Source organism: Homo sapiens, chromosome 8 (assembly GCF_000001405.40).
Source record: "Homo sapiens chromosome 8, GRCh38.p14 Primary Assembly".
In the NCBI taxonomy this organism is placed as follows: domain Eukaryota; kingdom Metazoa; phylum Chordata; class Mammalia; order Primates; family Hominidae; genus Homo; species Homo sapiens.
The window spans coordinates 142,762,516-142,781,634 of NC_000008.11; the positions used below are offsets into that span (position 1 = coordinate 142,762,516).

Genomic DNA, 19,119 nt, shown 5'->3' on the forward strand with positions numbered 1-19,119 from the left:
AGGCTGGTCTCAAACTCCTGACCTCAGGTGATCCACCCTCCTCGGCCTCCCAGTGTGCTGGGAATACAGGCGTGAGCCGCCACACCCGGCCTTTCCGTATTTCTTAATAATCCCTGCCACCACCTAGCAACCACTCATCTCCTTTTCCTCCCTATAGAGCTCCCTATTCCGGCCACTTCTGAGAAATAGAACTGTACACTGCTTGGCCTGTTGTGCGCGGCTTCTGTCTCACTTAGCATCGTGTTTTCAAGCACCCCCCGCGTGTTTTCAAGGCTCTCCCGTGTTTTGGCGTGGGTCGGGGCTTCATTCCTTTATGTGGCTGAATAACATTCTGTGGTGTGGGTCTGTCATCTCTGTGATCCCTCCATCAGTTGATGGGCATTTGGGTTTTTCCCGCCTTTTGTCTGCTATGAATAATGCCACTGTGAATGTTTGTGCACAGGCTTTTGTGTGGACTCGTGTTTACTCTTCTTGGGCCATGCCTGGGCGTGGAATTTGGCCTGGGGGTGGAATTTGGACCAGGTGGGGGGGCGGGGGTGGAATTGCTGTGTTTACAGCAACTCTGTCCAATCCTTTCAGGAACGTGTCTTGCTTTTCTATTCTGAATTATCTAGCATTAAAAAACCTCCTCTTTTTACATCGAAACCTCTCATTCAGTTGGCATGCCTTTGGCTGTAGCGAGAGAGGTGATGATCCAGCCTTATCCTGTTCTCTCCACAGTGCTCCACGGCGGCTGCCAGTGAGCCCTGTCCCTCTCCTGCAGATCTGAGAAGTGCTCCATTGTCACCTCAATTCTTGAGCTTATCTGGGTATCTCCAGCGCACCCTGTTTATGTCTTCTTCTGTGCCCGGGGCTACTCTGAAAGTTGTCCTGCACCTGAGTGTCCGGCGGCCCTGCCTGAGACACCCCCTCCTTGTGGAGCAGCTTAACAATTGCATCAGCTTTCTCCTGTGCTGATTCTTCATGAGAACGTTGCCAAGGTGAGAACAAGAAAGGCCAAGGAAAGGGCCTGGCGGTGTGTTTCTTGGCAGGTGCTAACTCAGTCGGGGGGATCTGGGTGCTGCAGGTATTGACTCACCTCGGCCTCTCCGAGGGGAGTGCCAGGCTTATGTGGGGGTCTCATTCAACCTTGCAGCCCGAAGCTCGGCCATGACGCAATGTTGCCTAGGGAGTGATCAACTTCCACAAACATCACTTACCTAGTTTCCATGTCCACCCTGAGATGGGTGGCCACAGCTGCCCATCACCTCAGTCTGATTCATCCCACTCCCAGCATCTCTCCCCAGCACCCTGCCTTGTGTGCTGGGTACCCAGTGGCCCAGAGGAGCTGGAGGTGGTGTTCCCTGCCAGAACTGGGGGTTTCCTAGAGAGGGGCAGGCCGGGCCACTGGCCCAGGGGCATGTATGAGGGCGAGGGTGAGGATGCCGCCTCACTCTTCTCCCTATTCCAGAAGGCCTGCTGCAGCCGTCTTTGCCAATGGCACCTCCTCCCTTCCTCCACCCCGCACAGCCTCCATGTCTCAGCCGGGGTGTCCTTTTTCTGAGGTTTCCCAACTCACGCTCTGGGGTGGAGGGCTCCTCATGTGCCCCAGCCCCAACTCCCACTCTAGCTGCTTCAGGAGAAGCAGCTGCCCGGGGTGCCTGGGCCCCCGTGCCCTTCAGGCCTGACAGTTGGCTGGAGGCGGGAGGGCCTGTTCCGTGATAAGGGCAAGTGGGGGTGGGGTAGTAGGGTTTAGCCTGGGGTGAGGGAGCGAGGCACCCCCAAATCTACTCCACTCTACTCCCAAGCCCAGGATGGCAGGACTCCACTCTCACTGCATAGCTTGTACCACACGATCCAATCACATTTTATTGTGGGGAGGTCGGGACCTGAAGGGGCGGCAGGCACGATGGGCCCCAGGCTTGGACGGCAGCAGATTGAGGCAAGACTCCACGCAGGACTTCCCTAGGACAAGCGGTGCTGGACGGTGGCTGCAGAGGCCGGGAGAGGTGGGCTGGCCAGTCTCGAGGGAGGGGCAGCTGTGAGCCCTGGCGCCAGGCTGTGGGGGCTGTGGGGGCTGAGCGTCCGGGGGCCTGGAGGAGGGCAGCCGTCAGTCATGGTTGCAGAGGCTGGTCTGGCAGCAAGCGATGGATACGTAGGGGCCCAGGCCCAGGCTGGGGATATCGGGGCAGCCTATGTGGCACATCTTGGTGACCAGAGGCAAATCCTCGGTGTTGCTGAGGACCCCTGAGTGGGCAGGAGAGAAACCATGGAGCTCCCTGAGGCTCTGGTTTGCCCAGACCCTGCTGCCCCATCTGCCACTGAGCTGAGGGTCAGACGCCCCAGGTACATGAAGCATACGGGCCCTCCTGGGGCAGACGTGGCCCTTTGCTCATACCCTTCCCTGGGCATCACTGGCGGACACTCCCCACTATGCTTCTGACTTACTGGGTGCCTGGATCTGGCTCTGTCACCCTCTGAGCCCACATCTTCCCACCTGGGCAAGAAGGACGTGGCCAGCCCACCACTGTTCCCACTTACGGGTGGCAGTGGTGACACAGTGGGTGGAGTCCCTCAGGCATCTGGATCCATGGGAGCACCCTCCGAAGCCCGTGCACTGGTGACACCATATGGCTTCGGCTGCAGCTGCGGACATGGGGACAGACAGGACACAAACGGATGGGAGGCAGGTGTGGGCCACCTTCTGCAGTGACGGCACGCACTCATCTCCACCCAGCAGCCCATGCTCCTTCTCAGCGGCCAGTGTCCCGACCCTGTGATCCAGCCCTCTCAGGAGCTGGGCCCCTGTCCCTCACCTTGGGGTGCCTGGCAGCCCTGCAGCTGGAGCCAGCTGGTTGCATCCTTGCCCAGGAAGCAGCCTTGGGCAAGGGTGGGGCCGGGCAGCCCTGGCTCGCAGTGTGATGTCCCAGGGCAGTGGTGGTGCAGCAGCCTGGGCTATTTGGGGTCCCAGGGTGGGGGGTGGGGAGGAGGTGGAGGGGCTCTGAGACACGCTTTCTGGCCATGCCCATTTTTGCCTCTGGGTACTGAGTGGGACCTGTTAGACCCCCGGGACTGGATTCTGGTGGCTGCGATGATGGGGCCGTTCCTGCCTCCACAGGGAGCCCAGGGCAAGGGCGACCAGGATGTGGTGGAACAGGAATTAAAAGAAATTAAAGAATGTGTAGGCCGGGCGCGGTGGCTCACGCCTGTAATCCCAGCACTTTGGGAGGCCGAGGTGGGTGGATCACTTGAGGTCAGAAGTTCAAGAACAGCCTGGCCAATATGGTGAAACCCTATCTCTACTAAAAATATAAAAACATTAGCTGGGCATGGTGGCGTGTGCCTGTAATCCCAGCTACTCAGGAGGCTGAGGCAGGAGAATTGCTTGAACCTGGGAGGCAGAGGTTGCAGTGAGCCGAGATCGCGCCACTGCACTCGAGCCTGGGCGACAGAGCAAGACTCCACCTCAAAAAAAAAAACAAAAAACAAAAAACAAAAAACAAAAAAAGGCTGTGTAAACAGAAACTCAGTTGTATGTAAGAAAACCCAATTCCCTCTGAGAAAGAGAAAGAACTAGAGTCCTTTAATAATTCCCTGCCTGTTCCTCTGTGGCTAGTGAGCCTTCTCTCTCCTCCTTTCCCAGGCGCTGTGGAGACACCGTTTCTCTAGTTGTGCAGCTGCAAGGTCACAGACAGAGAAACTCAAGTCGTAAAACATGTTTTTCCTTCAAAAGGAAGAAATGATGTAAGGAATGTCTCAATTCATTGAATCACTGTCTTTGTTTCTCGCTTCTGTAACATGCTTCCCCCTGCACCGATCTCCCCCCACCCCGCGAAATGCTTAAAAGGTAACTTAACTCTTTGTTCAGAGCTCAGTCCTTTGGATGTTAACCCGACTGGGCTGGTGCACCTAAATAATAAATATCCTCCTCAACCCCTTGGTCTCTCTGATTCCTTAAAACATCCCGCTACAGTGGCGGCACCCAGGCAGCTGCAGGGAGCGGTGAGCTCTGCCTCACTTTACCCAGGAGGACGGCCCGTGCTCGGGAGACACTGCTCTTCCGCGGGCGCTGCTGTGGGTCTGCCCCACTCCCGAGGCCTGCTAGCCCTCCTGGGCACCCCCCAAGGGCTTCCCTGCCTGCTCTCTGCCCCTCTTCATCCCTGACTCTGTCCTCTCCTCCCTGGCCGCCTCCATCCATTTCTCATTTCTCAGCCTCCAACTCCCTCCCTCCCTGTCCTCACCCTTGGTTCACACACCCAGGACTGGGTAAGCAGAGTCCCTAACACCTGCTGGCCCCAGGCCTGCTCTCTCTGCATAGGAGCCTGCAGGGTGACAAGGCCAATGGTGTGGCCATAAGGATGTGAGGGCTGCTCTGTCACAGGCACCAGGCGCAGGCCCTGGCTTCCTCTTGAGCTGTGCCCCAGGCAGCCCAGCCTCAGGACACAGGAGCCCACGCCTGCCCTATCCCATCTCTGCTGGGCTGCCCCCGCCTCACTGTTGCCAAAGGTGGAGAAGGGCTGGAGTCAGCCCCAGTCAGTGCCAGCTCCAAACCCGGGTTCCTGACAGCATGGCTCTGTATGCACCAGCACTGAGCTGACCTCAGACCTCAGTGCACACCAGGCCCCTGCCACGGGCCAGAGTCCTCTGGTCACCCCTGGGTCCTGTGGGCGGAATCCTCCATCGAGGCACCACGGAGAAGGTGACACAGATGGGAAGTTCCGGCCAGGGCAGGCCCCTGCCATCAGCTTTGGCCCCTCTACCAGCCCCGGAGAGCAAGCTGAGACCCCACCTTCGAGAAAGAAAGGTGGTGACAGCTGCCTCCAAGCCCCTCTCTGCCTTCCCACCAAAGTGGCTTGAAGCTCCCCTTGGCTGTCACATCCAACCTAGTGACAGCCAATAAGTCGGACACGCCTCTACTCAACACTGGCAGCCACAGGCCACAGCTGGCTGGGGTGGGGGGTAGCAGGGAAGATGGGCAGGAGGCTGGGGCACCAGAAGGAGGAGGTGAGGATATGGGTGCCCAAGGGTGCCATGGAGAGAACCAGCTCCAGCCTGTCCACTACACATGCCCACGCTCCCAAGGCCTCCCTGGCTTTGAACTTGCTGTTCCTCCTGCCCTCTGGGCAAAACAAGCCCTGGTGCAAATGCCACCCCCTCCAGGAAGGCCTCCTTGGTTTCCAGGGCAGAGTGAATGGTTCCAACTCTGACACACCCACCGTGAACTGCAGCATCCTGCCCCAGCTGGCATCAGTGTCCCTGCTCCAAGTGATTGTGCTCAGGGCTCCTTCCTCACCCCCACCCAAGCATGAGGGCCTCTGAGGCTGGGCAGGGCGTTCTACCCATTCCTCAGTGCTCCCTCCCCTGCACTTAATGAGGCCCAGGAGAGGCTTGCAGAATGAATGAATAAATGAATGAATGAATGAATGAATGAATGAATGAATTCCGGGGGTGGTTGCAGGTTGGGTTATCAAGAGAAATAATAATTCTGTCCCTTATCAGAGGGTTTTTGATTTTCAGCAATGAGATCCTGAGGGAAGCAGATAAAATGTTAGCTCCAAACCGGAAAGGCTGCTCGATGGTGACTGTGAGGACACAGGGACAGTGTTCAGACTGGCGCCTGACACACGGGAGGGAGGGGAGATCAGGGGGAGAAGAGGAGAGAGGAAGGGAGGGAGGAGGAGAGGAAGGAAGGAAGGGAAGGAGGGAGGAGGAATAGAGAGGAGGAGGGAGGTGGGGTGGGGGGGAGGGGGCAGGAATAATGGAGGGACAAACAGGATGGTGGGATGGGCTCTGGGTGTAGCTGCATGGCTGGGGGCAGGTCTCTCCCACTGGGGACCCCCGTGCTGGCTCTGAAGCAGGCTGGCCCCTCGGGGAGATTGTGCTGTCCATGTATGGCAGAGAGCAGACACCAAGCAATGACAGGGGATGCAGGTGCCCCTGAGAGAGGCTCGCCAGTCCTCCAACCGGAAGAGCAGTGAGGCAGCTTGGGGCTTGTTCCTCGAGGGGCAGGTGGGATTTCAGCAGAAGGAAGGGCTCCAGGAGCCCTGGTGCAGGGAAGGGCCTCTGGGTCAGAGGGGAGTCCGTGGGCACCGGGCACCCAGGCAGAGGCTCCTGTGATGTGCCATCCCTGGCCTGGATGGCCACCTGACTGCCTGTCCAGTCCTGATGGTTACAAAGGCCTTCTCCAGGTTAAGTCGAGTCCCCAGGCCCCTGTGTGTCTCGGACCTTCAGCACAGAGCTGGTCTGCCCTCATGACCCTGGGGCAGTCCTCAGGGTCAGCGGCTCAGCCTCTCATAGGCCAGGAGGGTGCCCCTGGGGATGGAGACTGGAGGGATGTAAGAGACACCTGAGCCAGCGCCAGGGACTCACCGACGCTCCACCCCCTGCTCATTCAGGGCCTGGGAGGCAGGGGCTGCCCAGGTCGTTCAACCCACAGCCAGGGACGCAGAGGCTTGGCCCCTGGGGGGCTGGGCTGCTTGGGCTTGGAGGTGCAGGCCACCGGCAGATCAAGGGGCCAGCTGGTTTTGTTGAGGCCTCAGGGTGGGGGTGGAGATGCCCTGCCAAGAGAAGACGTTCAGGCTCTGCTGGGGGATGCCAAGGCCAGGTGTGCACAGCTGTGCTTGAGGGGTCATCCCCTTGGAGCCCTCAGGAAGGCCCTGGGCCAAGGGATCTGAAGCTGGGGGGACAGGGCCAGCCGTAGCAGACGTGGGCACTGCGGGGGTCGAGGGTTGGGGGATGGGGAGGGGGTAAAATCACCCAGGAAAGCGGGGAGCAGAGGAGAGGACCCGGGAGCAGGAACTGGGGATGGGAGAGCAGAGGGACTTGGTTTTCCCAGGCAAGAGGGAAGAGGGAGTCCCGGGAGGGTGGCCCCAGGAGACAAACCAGCTGGGAGGCCAGGCCCAAGAGGGCTGGAGGGGGGCACATTCAGAGTGTGTGTGTGCACGTGCACGAAGGTGCGTGTGTGAGGGGTGTCGCGGTGGACTGGAGAGGTCTGGGGGCTGGGCAGAGGAAGAGGGGGGTTTGAGCCAAGGGCTGTGCATCCTGAGAAGTGTGGGGGCCAGTGTCGGGGGCTGGGGCTGAGCTGGATGGACCTGCAGGATCGCAGGAGGCTTTCGGAGGAAAGCTGCACCTGGTAGATGGTGGGGGGACAGGAATGGGTTCTCCCGAGGTGGGCAGTCACAGCCCAGGGCTGGAGGGACGGTGGTTGGGCTAGAGTGATGGGGGCCTTGAGCAGGAGGTGGCCCCAGCCCCTGGACTCACCCAGCTGCAGGCTCAGGACGGCGGCCAGCAGGAGCCCAGTGCCGAGCTGCATGTTCTCCTGGTGAGGTCGGGCTGTCGGCGCCCTGGCCGGCTGCCTTATACCTGCTGGCACCCCGCCCTGGCCCTCGCCCGCTCAGCAGACTCTGCGGGTCTGAGTCACCAGGCAGCCGGGCTCAGTCAAGGAGCCGGGCTGGGGTCCGGGCGGTAGGGGCCAACCTGGCCCCAAAGCTCGCTGGTTAGGCCTCTGAGCGGGCCGGTGTCATCTCATGAGCCATCTCTCCTTGTCCATAAAGTAGGGATAGCCCTGGCTGACAGGATTGAGGATCTGATAAAATGGCCTGGCACCAGGCAAGCAATGGCCACAGGCCACTCTCCCTCAGTGGCTGGGAAGGAAGGCCTGGCACCAGGCAGGTGACGGCCACAGGCCGGTCTCCCTCAGAGGCTGGGAAGGAAGGTCTGGTGGGAAGGAGGGTCTTGGGCACCAGCCACCAGCCCACCCCTTACGCCTCAAAATGCACATGAAGCTCAGGGCTGGGTGGAAGCCACAGGCCTTCATCTGTACTCCCACCCTAGAATGAGTTCCATGACAAGACCTCCTCCAAATAAGCCAGAGCTTTCCCATCCTGACCCCCGCAGGGCTGGGAGAACACAGAGGGAGCATGGTTGTGAGCCACCTCTCTGTCATCCGTACAGGGAATCATGGCCATTGTCACACTGTGACTAACGCCCCAGGATCTGTGCAGAGGAGTAGGGGGGACAGAAAGGCCCTTGGTACTAAAAGGGACCCCAAGGATAAGGTAAGAGCCCAGAAGGGACACCCTGGAGAGCGGGAGCCATCAGCTGTTCCTCCAAAGGCTGGCCAGGGGCTGGGGCCCCAAAGGGCCTGTCCGTAGCCAGTCAGCCATGCCAACCCGGGGACCCCTATGTGTCTCTCGGGCTGCCCACATGGCTTCTGTCTACCCCTCCGTTTCGGGGGCTCCTTATGGCTGGGAGGTGGGCCCAGGAGGAGGGAGATCCTGAAAGAGGGGCTGGCAGATCCAGGCCCTCCTTCCTGGGGCAGTCGAGAAGCTGGGGTCAGGAACCAGGTAGGCAGAGAGGTCAGAGATGGTGGGATGGGGTCCTGGGGGAGTTCCCGCCTCCCTTACCCCGCACACCCAGACTTCCTCAGGGGTTTGTATGCCCCTCAGGGGTGCTGGGTGGGGGGTGGCCTCTCTCCCACGGAACTGGGAGCAACTCTCAGCAAGCCCCAGGAGCCCTGCCTGTCTCCCTCCCTGTGCCTGGCTCCGAGGACAGGTCAGGCCTAGAGGCCAGAAAAGTCCAGGACCTGGACCGGGTAGGGTAGACAGGAAAGTGGCTGCATGCAGCCTGGAGTGCCAGCCCAGCCAGGCTGGAAAGGTGAGGCCCGAGCTCAGGCCGAGGCAGTGGGGCTGGAGAGAAGCGCAGACAATGCGAATCTGTTGATTTATTTACGGCTCGGTGAGACGACGCTGGACGCTGGTTAGGGTAAGGGTTAGGGCAAGCATTAGCAGCAGGGGCATGGCCCTGGGAAGCACCTGGACCCCAGAACATAAGACAGGAGGGAGAGATGCCATCCATTCAGCGGGCACTTATGCCCACGACCAGCTGAGCCAGACCAGCATTCCCATTTCACCACCCCTTACTCCTCAAGATGCAAATGAAGCTCAGGGCTGGGCGGAAGCTGGCAGGGCTGTCCACAGGGAGGACCCCCGTGTGTCTCTCGGGCTGCCCAGGTGGCTCTGTCCACCCTTCTGTCTGGGAGGCTCCTTAAGGCTGGGGAGGGCCCAGAGGGAAGGAGATCCTGAGGGGCTGGCAGATTCAGGCCCTCCCTGCGAGCTGAGGTTTGAAGAGGAGAGCAGACCACCCAGAGTAGTGGGAGAAAGCACCGGCAGAAAAGCTGGCATATCCACCGAGGGCCTCTCTGCTTCTTTTGACCTTTTTCAGAGTTTCAGAGTTATGAACCAAATCGCCTTCATGAGAGATGACGAATCAGATGCTACATAGTGGGGGAGGCGGCAGCTGGCCTGGCTCCCCCACTTCCCCAGGACCTCCGCCTGGAGGAAGCCTGCCCAGGGCCGCAGCCCTGCCCCCAAAGACCCCAGGACAGACCAGAGCTCCTGCTGGAGCCGGGTGTCCCCATGCTGACCTGGCCATGTCCCCAGGTCCCACCCCAGGGTCACTTCCTGTAGCTCCGACTTCTCTAGTGGCTGATTGCAGTTCCCAGAATGTATAACATCCCAGGGTGCCAGAGCCCACCCAAGCAGCCACTCCTGTCCAGTTCCCAGAATGTATAACATCCCAGGGTGCCAGAGCCCGCCCAAGCAGCCACTCCTGTCCAGTTCCCAGAATGTATAACATCCTAGGGTGACAGAGCCCGCCCAAGCAGCCACTCCTGAGTCACTCGGGCATGTCCAGGACTCAGGTCCACACAGACAGTGGCAACAGCTAGCCCTGGGCATCTACCCCCATGAAGGGGACCCTCGGTTCTGCGAGAGAGATCCCCGAAGTGGGAACTGGGCCCCCATGGTGCCCAGTGCCTCTCCCCCTCTCCTCTGCCACTCTGCCCTGCACCCAGAGGCAGCGCTGGAGGCCTTACTCTACCACTCAGGGCTTCTCAAACCTCTGGTTCCACTTTTCTCCTTTTAAGCTTTCCATTTTGTAAACTCACCTCCCCCTTCCCAGGCTTGGGGGTCCAAGGAACCCCAGCTGGTGGGAGAAGCGGCTGCACTGTGGTGCAGGGGGTGGTGAGTGAGCGAGGAGGCACTAGTGTGGGGCAGCTACTTCACCTCCCTGTGCCTCTGTGTCCTCCTCTGTCAAAGGGGCAAGATAATGGCTCCCATTGCCGGGCTGCTATACAGTGCTCAGGGCCACAGTGCAGTGGGGGGACCCACGTCCATCGCCACCTTGATGCATACAACCCGGACAAGTTTACTGCTGTGATTTCTGCCGGCGCTGCTGTGCCGGTTCCCTGGTGCTGCACAGCCACGCACTCCCCATGAGTGGGCCTGCCCAGCATTAGCTGAGTGCCTTCTGTGTGCTCTACGCCAGGTGCCAAGGGCAGGCCAGCCAGGCAGAACCATGTGTGGGGCTGGGACAGGTCAGGGTGGTGGAAAGGTGGACAGAAGGAGGCAGGAGGCAGGTGTGAGAAGCTGCCCACCCCACCCCTCAACACCACAGCACTTCCAGCTCCAGCAGGTCCTTGTTCTCAGCTGCCCCTGAGCCATGGGTGGCCAGGTCTCCTCCCCATCACCCCACTGAGACTCGAGACAGGGAGGACCTGATCCTGGAGTCCCTCCCAGCCCTGGCTGAGGAAGCCACCCAACCCGACAATGGGCTTGCGCAAGCCGCGCAGTGACTGCTCCCAGCCTCTCCCAAGGACTTAGGAGCCCAAAGCCGCCTCCCTCCCGGTAAGCATCCCAAGGCATCGCTGGCTGCAGCTGAGAGGGCCTCATTTGGGCACTGCCCTGAGGCTGGCACTTGCAGGTGGGGGCCCTTGGGAGCTCTGGGAGGCACCTGGCAGCCTCCCAGACACCCCGGGCCGGTCCTGCTCTCCAGGCTTAGGGCTACAGCCACAACCACTGGGGGTAGGGGCGAGGGGAGTCCAGGCCCACCCTGTGCTGGCAGCAACTCCTTCCCAGCTCTGGGCCCAGTATGATGCCCATCTTCCCTCTGGGGAGTCACGTTCCTCCCGCTCCGGGCCCGTTCCCACCCAAGGTCCCTTTGCAGAAGACTGGCACTGTCCTCCTCCAGCGGGAACTGGGTGTGCCCTCAGCAAGACTCTGCCCCCTCCCATCCTCATGTTCTCAGGAGACTGAAGCTGGGCACTCAGAACCAGCCCCAGGAGCAGAACGCAGGCCTGCATATAGACTCACTGCAAGGAGACCCCTGGGGTGGAGACCCTCATTCCCTGATCCCCCAGGGGTCCTGCATCAAAGCTCTGGAGATGCAATTTCCAGCAGGGGCTCCCCTGACCAGGGCCATACTTTGGGGCCGGGACAATCCTACCACATGGATATGTCACCATCCTGCCCATGCGGGATGGCTTGAAGGGTTTCTCAGGACACCAGAGCTGGGAGCACTGGTCAGGTGGGGGCCTCAGGTGCAGCGTGACCGCTGGCACCAAAAGGTCTCACGCCCCCGAATGCCCCATTCACAGCAGGGGCAGGTGCTCCCTGGGCTACCTGCATCGGGGATGGATTGGTGCGTGTTGGGCTGACCCCTGCTTCCCAGGCCTGGGGTGGGGTCCCTGGGAGTCCACACACCCAGCTGGGGCTTCCACCCTGCCCTCCCAGTGGGTGCATCCCCAGGTGGAAGGTGATGGAGGGACCCACTCACTGTGCGCATCCCGCTGCGGGGGAGGGGCTGGGTCTCCGCCCTCCCCACCCCACCCTCCCCACTCCCGCCCCCGCACGGCCACGAGAGGGTGGCATGCTCCGCCTTCCCACGCCCAGGCCCGCGCCGGCCCCAGGCTGCTCCCAACCCCCAGCCTGTGCGCGCATCCCCCAGTCCTGCGTCTTTTGCCTTGCTCGGCTGGGTCCTGCTGTGGTTGGGGACCAGGACTCGGGGGACCACCTGCTCTGCCCCTTTCCCTCCCTGCCCAGAATAGCGCTGGCCGGGTCAGCGTCCAGGACCCACCAAATATAGCATGGCCCTAGCTCCTGCCAGCTTCAGGCCTGGTGCCCTCCCCGTGAGGGGGTGGGAAACGTCAAGGGGTTTGACTGAGAGGACACACACCCCTTGCTGGACCCGAAAAAGCTTCTGTGACTTCGGGGGCCCTGGGGCCTGCTGAGGCAGAGCCGCCCCCTCCCCTGCAGGGGGTGGCTCCAACTCGGGCCTGGCAGACTTCCTAGCACAGGGGCCGGTGCCAAAGGCCCTCCTCCCACAGCCCTGATCCCGTACCGGTCCTGGCAGCTCCTGGCCTCAGTAGGAAGCGTGACTAGGCCTGGAGGAGCCTTTCCTCCTAAGAGTCTCCCCACCACCCCACCTGCGGGCATTCCTTGTCTTCCCCCTGCCCCAGCACACCAGGGGCAGACTGAGGCAGGGGCCTCTCCTAGGGCTTCCCAGAAGGTGGGCTTGGCCACAGCTCCCATCTGCTCAGTGCTCCCTGCCTGACTGGGCCCCTCCCCATAAATAGCCCTGGACAGGCGAGGGGCTGATCAGCCCATCAAAGCCGGACACTTTTGGGATCCCACACAGCATCGAAAGGTCAAGGCCTCGAAGTGAGGTCGTGTGGTGGTTGGGGGAGGTCGGGTGTCTTCTTGCCCACAGTCCTGACCCTGGGCATGGCTGAGGAGGTCGCAGGGAGTGTGGAGGGTGAGGCAGGGTGAGCTGGGTGCGAGGGTGTAGCAGTGTGTCTCGAGAGCTTTGTTCTTGAGTGGGTCTGCCTCGGGGGCTTTAGAGGAGACCCCAGAGGGTGGCCAGGAGGATGGGGGCCAGGGCCAGGGTGGCCGGGGTGGCAAGGCCGGTGCCGTTGCAGAGGTCGTACTGGCAGCAGGAGGTGGTGGACGCGTGCTTGGAGTAGCCATCATACACAGTCTCGAAGCAGCGGGGCACGCAGGACTTACTGACCTTCATCCTGGTGGGGGTGTAGTCTGCAGAGGGGCGGGGCGGTGAGCCAGCTCCGCTAAGAGGGGCAGGAGACCCAGCTGGCCCCACCCCAGCATCCACAGCCATCAGGGCAGGGCCCCTCAGCCTGGAGCTCCCAGACAGGATCCGGGAACAGGAGAGCCTCCTTCCTCAGGACCCCCGCATGCTCAGGGGCAGGGCAGAACCTCCCCTTCGTGCTCCCCAGGCAGGGCCACGCAGGGCCCCCAGACTCACAGGTGCGCGTGGTCATGCAGTAGGCAACCATAGCCGGGCAGCGCATGGGGTTGAAGCAGTTGTCTCCGTTGTAGGCACACACGTGGCAGTCCAAGGCCTGGGCTGGGGTTGGCAGATGGGCGGGAAGGGAACGGGGGTCACAGAACATGAGAGGCCCCTCCTCCAGCCCATCAGGCCCCCAGCCCGTCACCTTCCCCGGGGCAGGGGGCTAGAAGGAGGGGTTGTCGCTGGGAATTCTAGCCTCCTTCCCTACTGTCAGCCCATCTGCCCTCAAAGTGGGTCTGCCCATCCCTCTGTCCTTTGTCCATCTTACCCAGAGGTAAGCCCATGAGGACCACCAGGATCAGGGTGAGCAGGGGCGTCATGGCTGCAGGCAGGAGGGCAGCGTGGGAGTGGGGAGGTCAACAGCAGCTAGCCCTGGATCCAACTCAGGGGTGGCGCACAGAGGATCCAACTCAGGGTGGTGCGCAGAGGACGTGGGGCCGGCCCTGCCTCCCGGAGCTCCTGGTCTACTGGGAGTGCTGCAACCCTGCACAGCAGGTGGCAAAGACAGGTGGTCAGTACTGGGCCTGAAGGACCCATGGGGGCCTGGGCAGGGATGATGGTGGGCAGAGGGGCCACCTAACTCAGTGGGTGTCAGGGAAGGTTTCCTGGAGGAGGAGACACTTGGGATGGGACAAGAAGGGAGAAGAGATCAGGACATTTCAATCAGAGACCAGCACCTGCAAAAGCTCAAAACAGCCTGTAGCGCTGGATGGAGGAGAGATGGGGGGAGGATGAGGGGCAGTGCTAGAGAAGGAGTAGGGATGGGCAGAGGGGCCTTAAATACCAGGCCTAAACAAGGATTTTACCCAGGGGATGGTTGGTGCAGAGGTCCCATGGGAGGTGGTCTGCAGCCCCATCCCAAGCAGGGCCCTGGGGGCCGGATGGCTGGCCATGGCAGGACTGGGCCCAAAAGCTGGGTCTCTTCTCGCTGTTCCCCTCCTCTCTGCTCCTGGGGTGTCCCTACTTGGGGTTCCTTCTTCCAGAAGACCTCCAGAGCCCTGGTTAGGGTTGTCTGAGTCCTCGGCCACTGCAGAAGCTCCCCAGCAGGGATGAGCTGTGCCCAGCTTGGGGGGAATGCATTTTGAGCCCCTCCCAGGAGGGCACTTGGGCCAGACAAGAAGAAGCATTTCCCCGGCTGGGTCTGGTGTTTGGAACGGGAATGCCCTCTCTGGAAAGAGGTTTACAGTGGGGAGGTGGGGGTTGGATTACGGCTCTCCTACCCCTGCCGGGATACTCGGCCCTCGGTCTCCGTCCTGGAGGACTAAATTAAACTTACGCCTTCCCGAGAACAACAAATCCGTCTCTCACGACACATTTGCCCAGGCCAACCCCAGGATGCCAAAGGCCAGAGTCAGGCCTGCGGCTTCGAGCTTCCCAACCCCCTCACGGAGAGCCCCGCCCCAAACACTGCGGTCCCAGGTCGAGGGGAGGGCTCTCGGCGCGAGCGGGACTATCAGGGTGACCTCACCTGTGACCTTCACCACCGTGAGGTACCGCCGCGCCTGGGAGTCACCCGCGGCCGCTCGCCGGTAGGTGCCTGCCTGAGTCTAATCGTAGGCGTGTCTGTGTGTCCCGCAGCACCCGTGCCGCATCGCCTGATGCTCACCGCAGGCCCAGCCCAGTCCCGCCCCCGGAACAGCCCGCCCAGCGCGAGCTCACCGCAGGCCCCGCCCCAGGCCTGCCCCGGCCCCACCTCCTGAGCAACCCCCCGAGCCGAGCTCACCGCAGGCCCCGCCCCGGACCCGCCTCCTGGGCTACTCACCAAGCCGCGCTCACTGCAGGCCCCGCCCCTGCCCCGCCTCCTGGGCACCCGCCGAGCCGAGTTCACCGCAGGCCCCGCCCCGGACCCGCCTCCTGGGCACCCGCCGAGCCGAGTTCACCGCAGGCCCCGCCCCGGACCCGCCTCCTGGGCACCCGCCGAGCCGAGTTCACCGCAGGCCCCGCCCCGGACCCGCCTCCTGGGCACCCGCCGAGCCGAGTTCACCGCAGGCCTCGGCCCGGACCCGTCCCCGGACCGCCGGCTCGCCGGGCAAGCGCTGGGACCCCGAGGCCAGTCCAGGCATCTGGATCTCCGACACAGAGGCAGCCACGCAGTGATTCCCTGGCGACCCTCAGACTCACGTGTTCAGCCCGGACACTCCGCAGGCTATCTTCACCGCGTCCCGCGGCAGCCCAGCCTTCCCCGCAGCCGCCTCCGCCCACTCGCCCGCGCCGCGTCGTTTGTCGGCCGGCACCAGCCTTGCGGCCCCAGCTCCGCCCTCCTGCAGCCCAGGCCCAGCAGCTCCGGAACTGGCGCCCTTTGGCGCACCCGCCTCGCTGCCCATGGCCTCCGCCTGCCTCCCCTGCGCTCAGCTCCCGCTTCTGGTCCCTGTAGCAAAGCTGGAAGGCAGGCCTGCAAGGCAGCCCCTTGCTCCGTGGTCCCTCTCACCATCATAATGTTCATATTAAATAATTATCTTTACATAACTTTGAATACTTATGTTATTGGTTCTGTTTTTGGCAAAATGTAATAAAATTTCATGGGTCCGAAAGTTTTCATTTTTTCCAATGTGAGAAAGAAAAATAAAACCTTTTCTTCTACCCTAAAGCTCATTTTTTTCTTTAAAACATTTTTGCGGGCCTGAGGTACAGAATACACCATGCCTGCTGGGCAAGCGGGCTCCGGTTCCAGGAAATCCTTCGGTCCCCAGCAAACTAGGCCAGTTAGTTGTTCTGTTTGCCGAGAGGTAATGCGCACCCTCCTGTGCCAGGTCCTAGTTGGGGAGAAGGCAAAGAATAAAACCAGCAGACGTTCCAGAATATTCCCACCCCATGGAGCTCACACTCTGGTGGGATAAGGGGCGTGGAAGGAACGCATAGGTCAGAACCAGAGTATGTCGCGGTCTTCAGCCTCAGACCACGATGAATTAATACGGATGAAACTTCCCTTGCCCGCCCGCCAGCGCTCGCCTCCTGCTGTGTGGCGTGGTTCCTAACCGGTCTGTGACCCAGGGGTTGGGGACCTTTATGTTAAAGGAAGTTCTTCAGGCAGAAATACGGATCTACACAAAGGAATAAATGACACCAGAAATAGGAAATAGAAGGTAATTTTTTTCTTATTTTTGAATCAAGTTAAAAGATAGTTGATTACCTAAAGCAAAAATAATAACAATGTATTAAGGAATTTATAGCAAATGTAGAAGTAAATTGTATGATAATAGTAGTGCAGGCTGGGCACCGCGGCTCACGCCTGTAATCCCAGCACTTTGGGAGGCTGAGGCGAGTGGATCGCTTGAGCCCAGGAGTTCAAGACCAGGCTTGGCTGGGCAACGTAGAGAGACCTCATCTCTAAAAAAAAAAAAATACCAAAAAATTAGCTGGGTGTGGTGGTGCACACCTGAGGTTGCACCCAGGAGGCTGAGGTGGGAGAATCACTTGAACCCAGGAGGTGGAGGTTGCAGTGAGCTGTGATCACGCTACTGCACTGAAGCCTGGGTGATAGAGCAAGACGCTGTGTCAAATAAATTTAAAAAAAAATAGTAATACAAATAGACCAGGAGAGGGACAATGGAAGTTCACTGTTGTAGATTTATTCTACTCTATGTGAAGTGGCCTACTATTTCTTGGAGGTAGACTAGTAAGTCAAAGGTGTATGCTAAGACGCTAAAGTGTCACTAAAAAAAGACAAAGAAAAAAGCAAAAGTCAAAGCACTGTAGTTAATAAATCAACAAAAGTGATGATACAGAATTATTTATTTATAAAAGCACATGTTACAGAGACTGCAGAAGAGGAGAAAGGAAAAAACAATGAGACAAATAGAAAACAAATAGCAAGATGACATATATTTAAACCCAGCCACAGCAATAATGACACTATGTCATCTAAACACTTCAATCAGGCTGAGCACGGTGGCTCACACCTGTAATCCTAACCTGTAATCCCAACACTTTGAAAGGCTGAGGAAGGTGGATCACTTGAAGTCAGGAGTTCCAGACCAGCCTGGCCAACATGGTGAAACTCCCTCTCTACTAAAAAATACAAAAATTAGCTGGGCATGGCGGTGGGTGCCTGTAATCCCAGCTACTTGGGAGGCTGAGGCAGGAGAATTGCTTGAACCTGGGAGGCAGAGGTTGCAGTAAGCTGAGATGGTGCCACTGCACTCCAGCCTGAGCGACAGAGTGAGTGAGACTCTGCCTCAAAAACAAACAAAAACATCTCAATTAAAAACAGAGGTTGTCAGATTGGATAAAAATAGAAACAGCCAAGTATATGCTGTCAGTGGGAAACTCACCAGACATGTAAAAACACAAATAAGATAAAAGTAAAAAGATGGAGAGAGATATACTATGCTAACACCAATTAAAAGAACACAGACATGACTACGTCAATATCAAAGTAGGTTTAAAGCAAAGACTATAATCAGAAATAAAGAGGAGCATTACTGGCCAGGTGTAGTGGCTCTCATCTGCAATCCCAGCACTTTGGGAGGCTGAGGTGGGAGGATTGCTTGAGGCCAGGAGTTTGAGACCAGCCAGGGCAAAACAGCAAAACACTATCTGTACTAGAAAGAAAGAAAAAAAATTTAAAAAGAGGGACATTACCAAATGATAAATTGATCAGTTCATGAAGAGGACTCAGCAGTTCTAAATATGTATGCACCTAACAATTAAGCTTCAAAATACACAAAGCAAAACAAACAACATCTGATAGAACTGAAAGGAGAAAAAGAAAATCCACAATAACAGAGATTTCAACACTCCTCTTTCGAGAACTGATAAAAAATAGACAAAAAGTCTGTAAGGATGAAGACGTGGATCACATTACCAGTCAACATGACCAACTTGATGTTTGTAGGACACTCCACCTCACAGAAGGGGAACACACCTTTATTTACCAATAATGTCCTCCAAGGCAGACTGTATTCTGGGCCATAGAACAAATCTCAGTAAATTTATACGGATTAAAATCATGCAGATTATTTGCTTGGACTACAATGGAGCTAAATTAGAAATCAATAACAGAAATATATCTAAAAGATCATCAAATATTTAGAAACTGAGTAATAACATATTTCTAAACAACTTATAGGTCAAAGGAGAAACCAAAAAGGAAATCAGAAAATATTTCCAACTGAATGAAAATGCAAACACAATTCATCAAAGTCAAAGGATGCAGCTGAAGTGGGCCCTGGAGGGAAATTTTGCACTAATGCTTCTTTTAGAAAAAAAAGAGCTAAAACTTCTTTTGGAAGAGAAAGAAGTTCTCCAAAAAAAACCACCTAAACTTTCACCCTCGGAAACCAGAACAAAAAGAGCAAATCAAACCCAAGGTAAGCAAAATGAAGAAAATAGCAAAAATAAAAGCAAAAAAAAAAAAAAAAAAAAGTGAGGTAGAAAAAGAAGATAGAGAAAAATCAATGAGAGCAATGTTTGAGAATGCCCCTCCAGGAGGAGGACCTCAACAACCCTCCCCAGTCCGGCTTGTCCATGGCAGGACCAGAGAAAGGACCTCTTGCAAACCAAAGCTAGCTGCCTCTGAGTTGGGGGCTGGCCAGTGGAGTGGGCGGCTGGGGCTGCCCCTCCAGCCCTCCGTGGGATCTGGCTGTCGAGACTGGGCGTTAAGGGAGGCTCTTGGGCCCCCCTGATCTGACTGAATAATGCTCCTTTCTTTCTCCCACCTGGCCTTTCAGCCAAGATGCTGTCAGGCGTCATCAGCCCCACACAGGGCCTGCAACCTTGTAGGTGGGGACAGCGCAGCTGGCCAGAGGGGGCCGGGTGGGAGCTCAGGCCCGACTGGACGGTGAGGAGAGCAGAAGTTCCGAGCAGGTGGAGGGAGGATCCCTTTTCAGAGGACCTGGTCAGTTGCTTTTGCACAGTCTCCCTGACAGCTGCCCTCTGTCTGGACATTGTGCTTTGACTGCTTTTAGCATTTCCATTTTTAAGGCATAGAGAAAATTGCATCCGGTGATGGGCCAGGAGAGTCAGCCATGCACCCCATGACAGGGACAGTGCCCCACC

General features: G+C 58.4%; 3 protein-coding genes and 1 long non-coding RNA gene across 8 annotated transcripts; 1 reads left to right on the forward strand and 3 right to left on the reverse strand.

Annotated features, from left to right (window-relative positions):
* The first annotated feature begins 549 nt into the window (after nt 1-549).
* Nucleotides 550-3,912, forward strand: SLURP2-AS1 (SLURP2 antisense RNA 1). The gene is made up of 2 exons (XR_007061134.1): nt 550-980; nt 3,623-3,912. It is a non-coding gene; the product is annotated as an SLURP2 antisense RNA 1 (long non-coding RNA).
* SLURP2 (secreted LY6/PLAUR domain containing 2) lies at nt 1,823-7,313 on the reverse strand. Of its 2 annotated transcripts, none has more exons than NM_001356372.2 (3): nt 7,240-7,313; nt 2,521-2,625; nt 1,823-2,072 (listed from the first exon to the last, which is right to left on the reverse strand). In NM_001356372.2, the coding sequence occupies exons 1-3, from the start codon at nt 7,289-7,291 to the stop codon at nt 1,945-1,947; spliced, it is 285 nt and encodes a 94-aa protein (NP_001343301.1). In that variant the 5' UTR covers nt 7,292-7,313; the 3' UTR covers nt 1,823-1,944. The 2 variants fall into 2 exon arrangements, with proteins under 2 accessions (NP_001343301.1, NP_803253.1); NM_177458.3 differs by having other exon boundaries at nt 1,823-2,226.
* Nucleotides 1,823-15,357, reverse strand: LYNX1-SLURP2 (LYNX1-SLURP2 readthrough). The gene is made up of 5 exons (NM_023946.5): nt 15,244-15,357; nt 13,391-13,606; nt 13,078-13,179; nt 2,521-2,625; nt 1,823-2,226 (listed from the first exon to the last, which is right to left on the reverse strand). The coding sequence occupies exons 2-5, from the start codon at nt 13,440-13,442 to the stop codon at nt 2,090-2,092; spliced, it is 396 nt and encodes a 131-aa protein (NP_076435.1). The 5' UTR covers nt 13,443-13,606; nt 15,244-15,357; the 3' UTR covers nt 1,823-2,089.
* Nucleotides 8,682-15,357, reverse strand: LYNX1 (Ly6/neurotoxin 1). Of its 4 annotated transcripts, none has more exons than NM_001356370.1 (4): nt 13,929-14,016; nt 13,391-13,606; nt 13,078-13,179; nt 8,682-12,848 (listed from the first exon to the last, which is right to left on the reverse strand). In NM_001356370.1, the coding sequence occupies exons 2-4, from the start codon at nt 13,440-13,442 to the stop codon at nt 12,652-12,654; spliced, it is 351 nt and encodes a 116-aa protein (NP_001343299.1). In that variant the 5' UTR covers nt 13,443-13,606; nt 13,929-14,016; the 3' UTR covers nt 8,682-12,651. The 4 variants fall into 4 exon arrangements, with proteins under 4 accessions (NP_001343299.1, NP_803252.1, NP_803430.1 ...); NM_177457.5 differs by lacking the exon at nt 13,929-14,016 and adding an exon at nt 15,244-15,357 and having other exon boundaries at nt 8,687-12,848; NM_177477.4 differs by lacking the exon at nt 13,929-14,016 and adding an exon at nt 14,591-14,687 and having other exon boundaries at nt 8,687-12,848.
* Nucleotides 15,358-19,119: the final 3,762 nt, after the last annotated feature.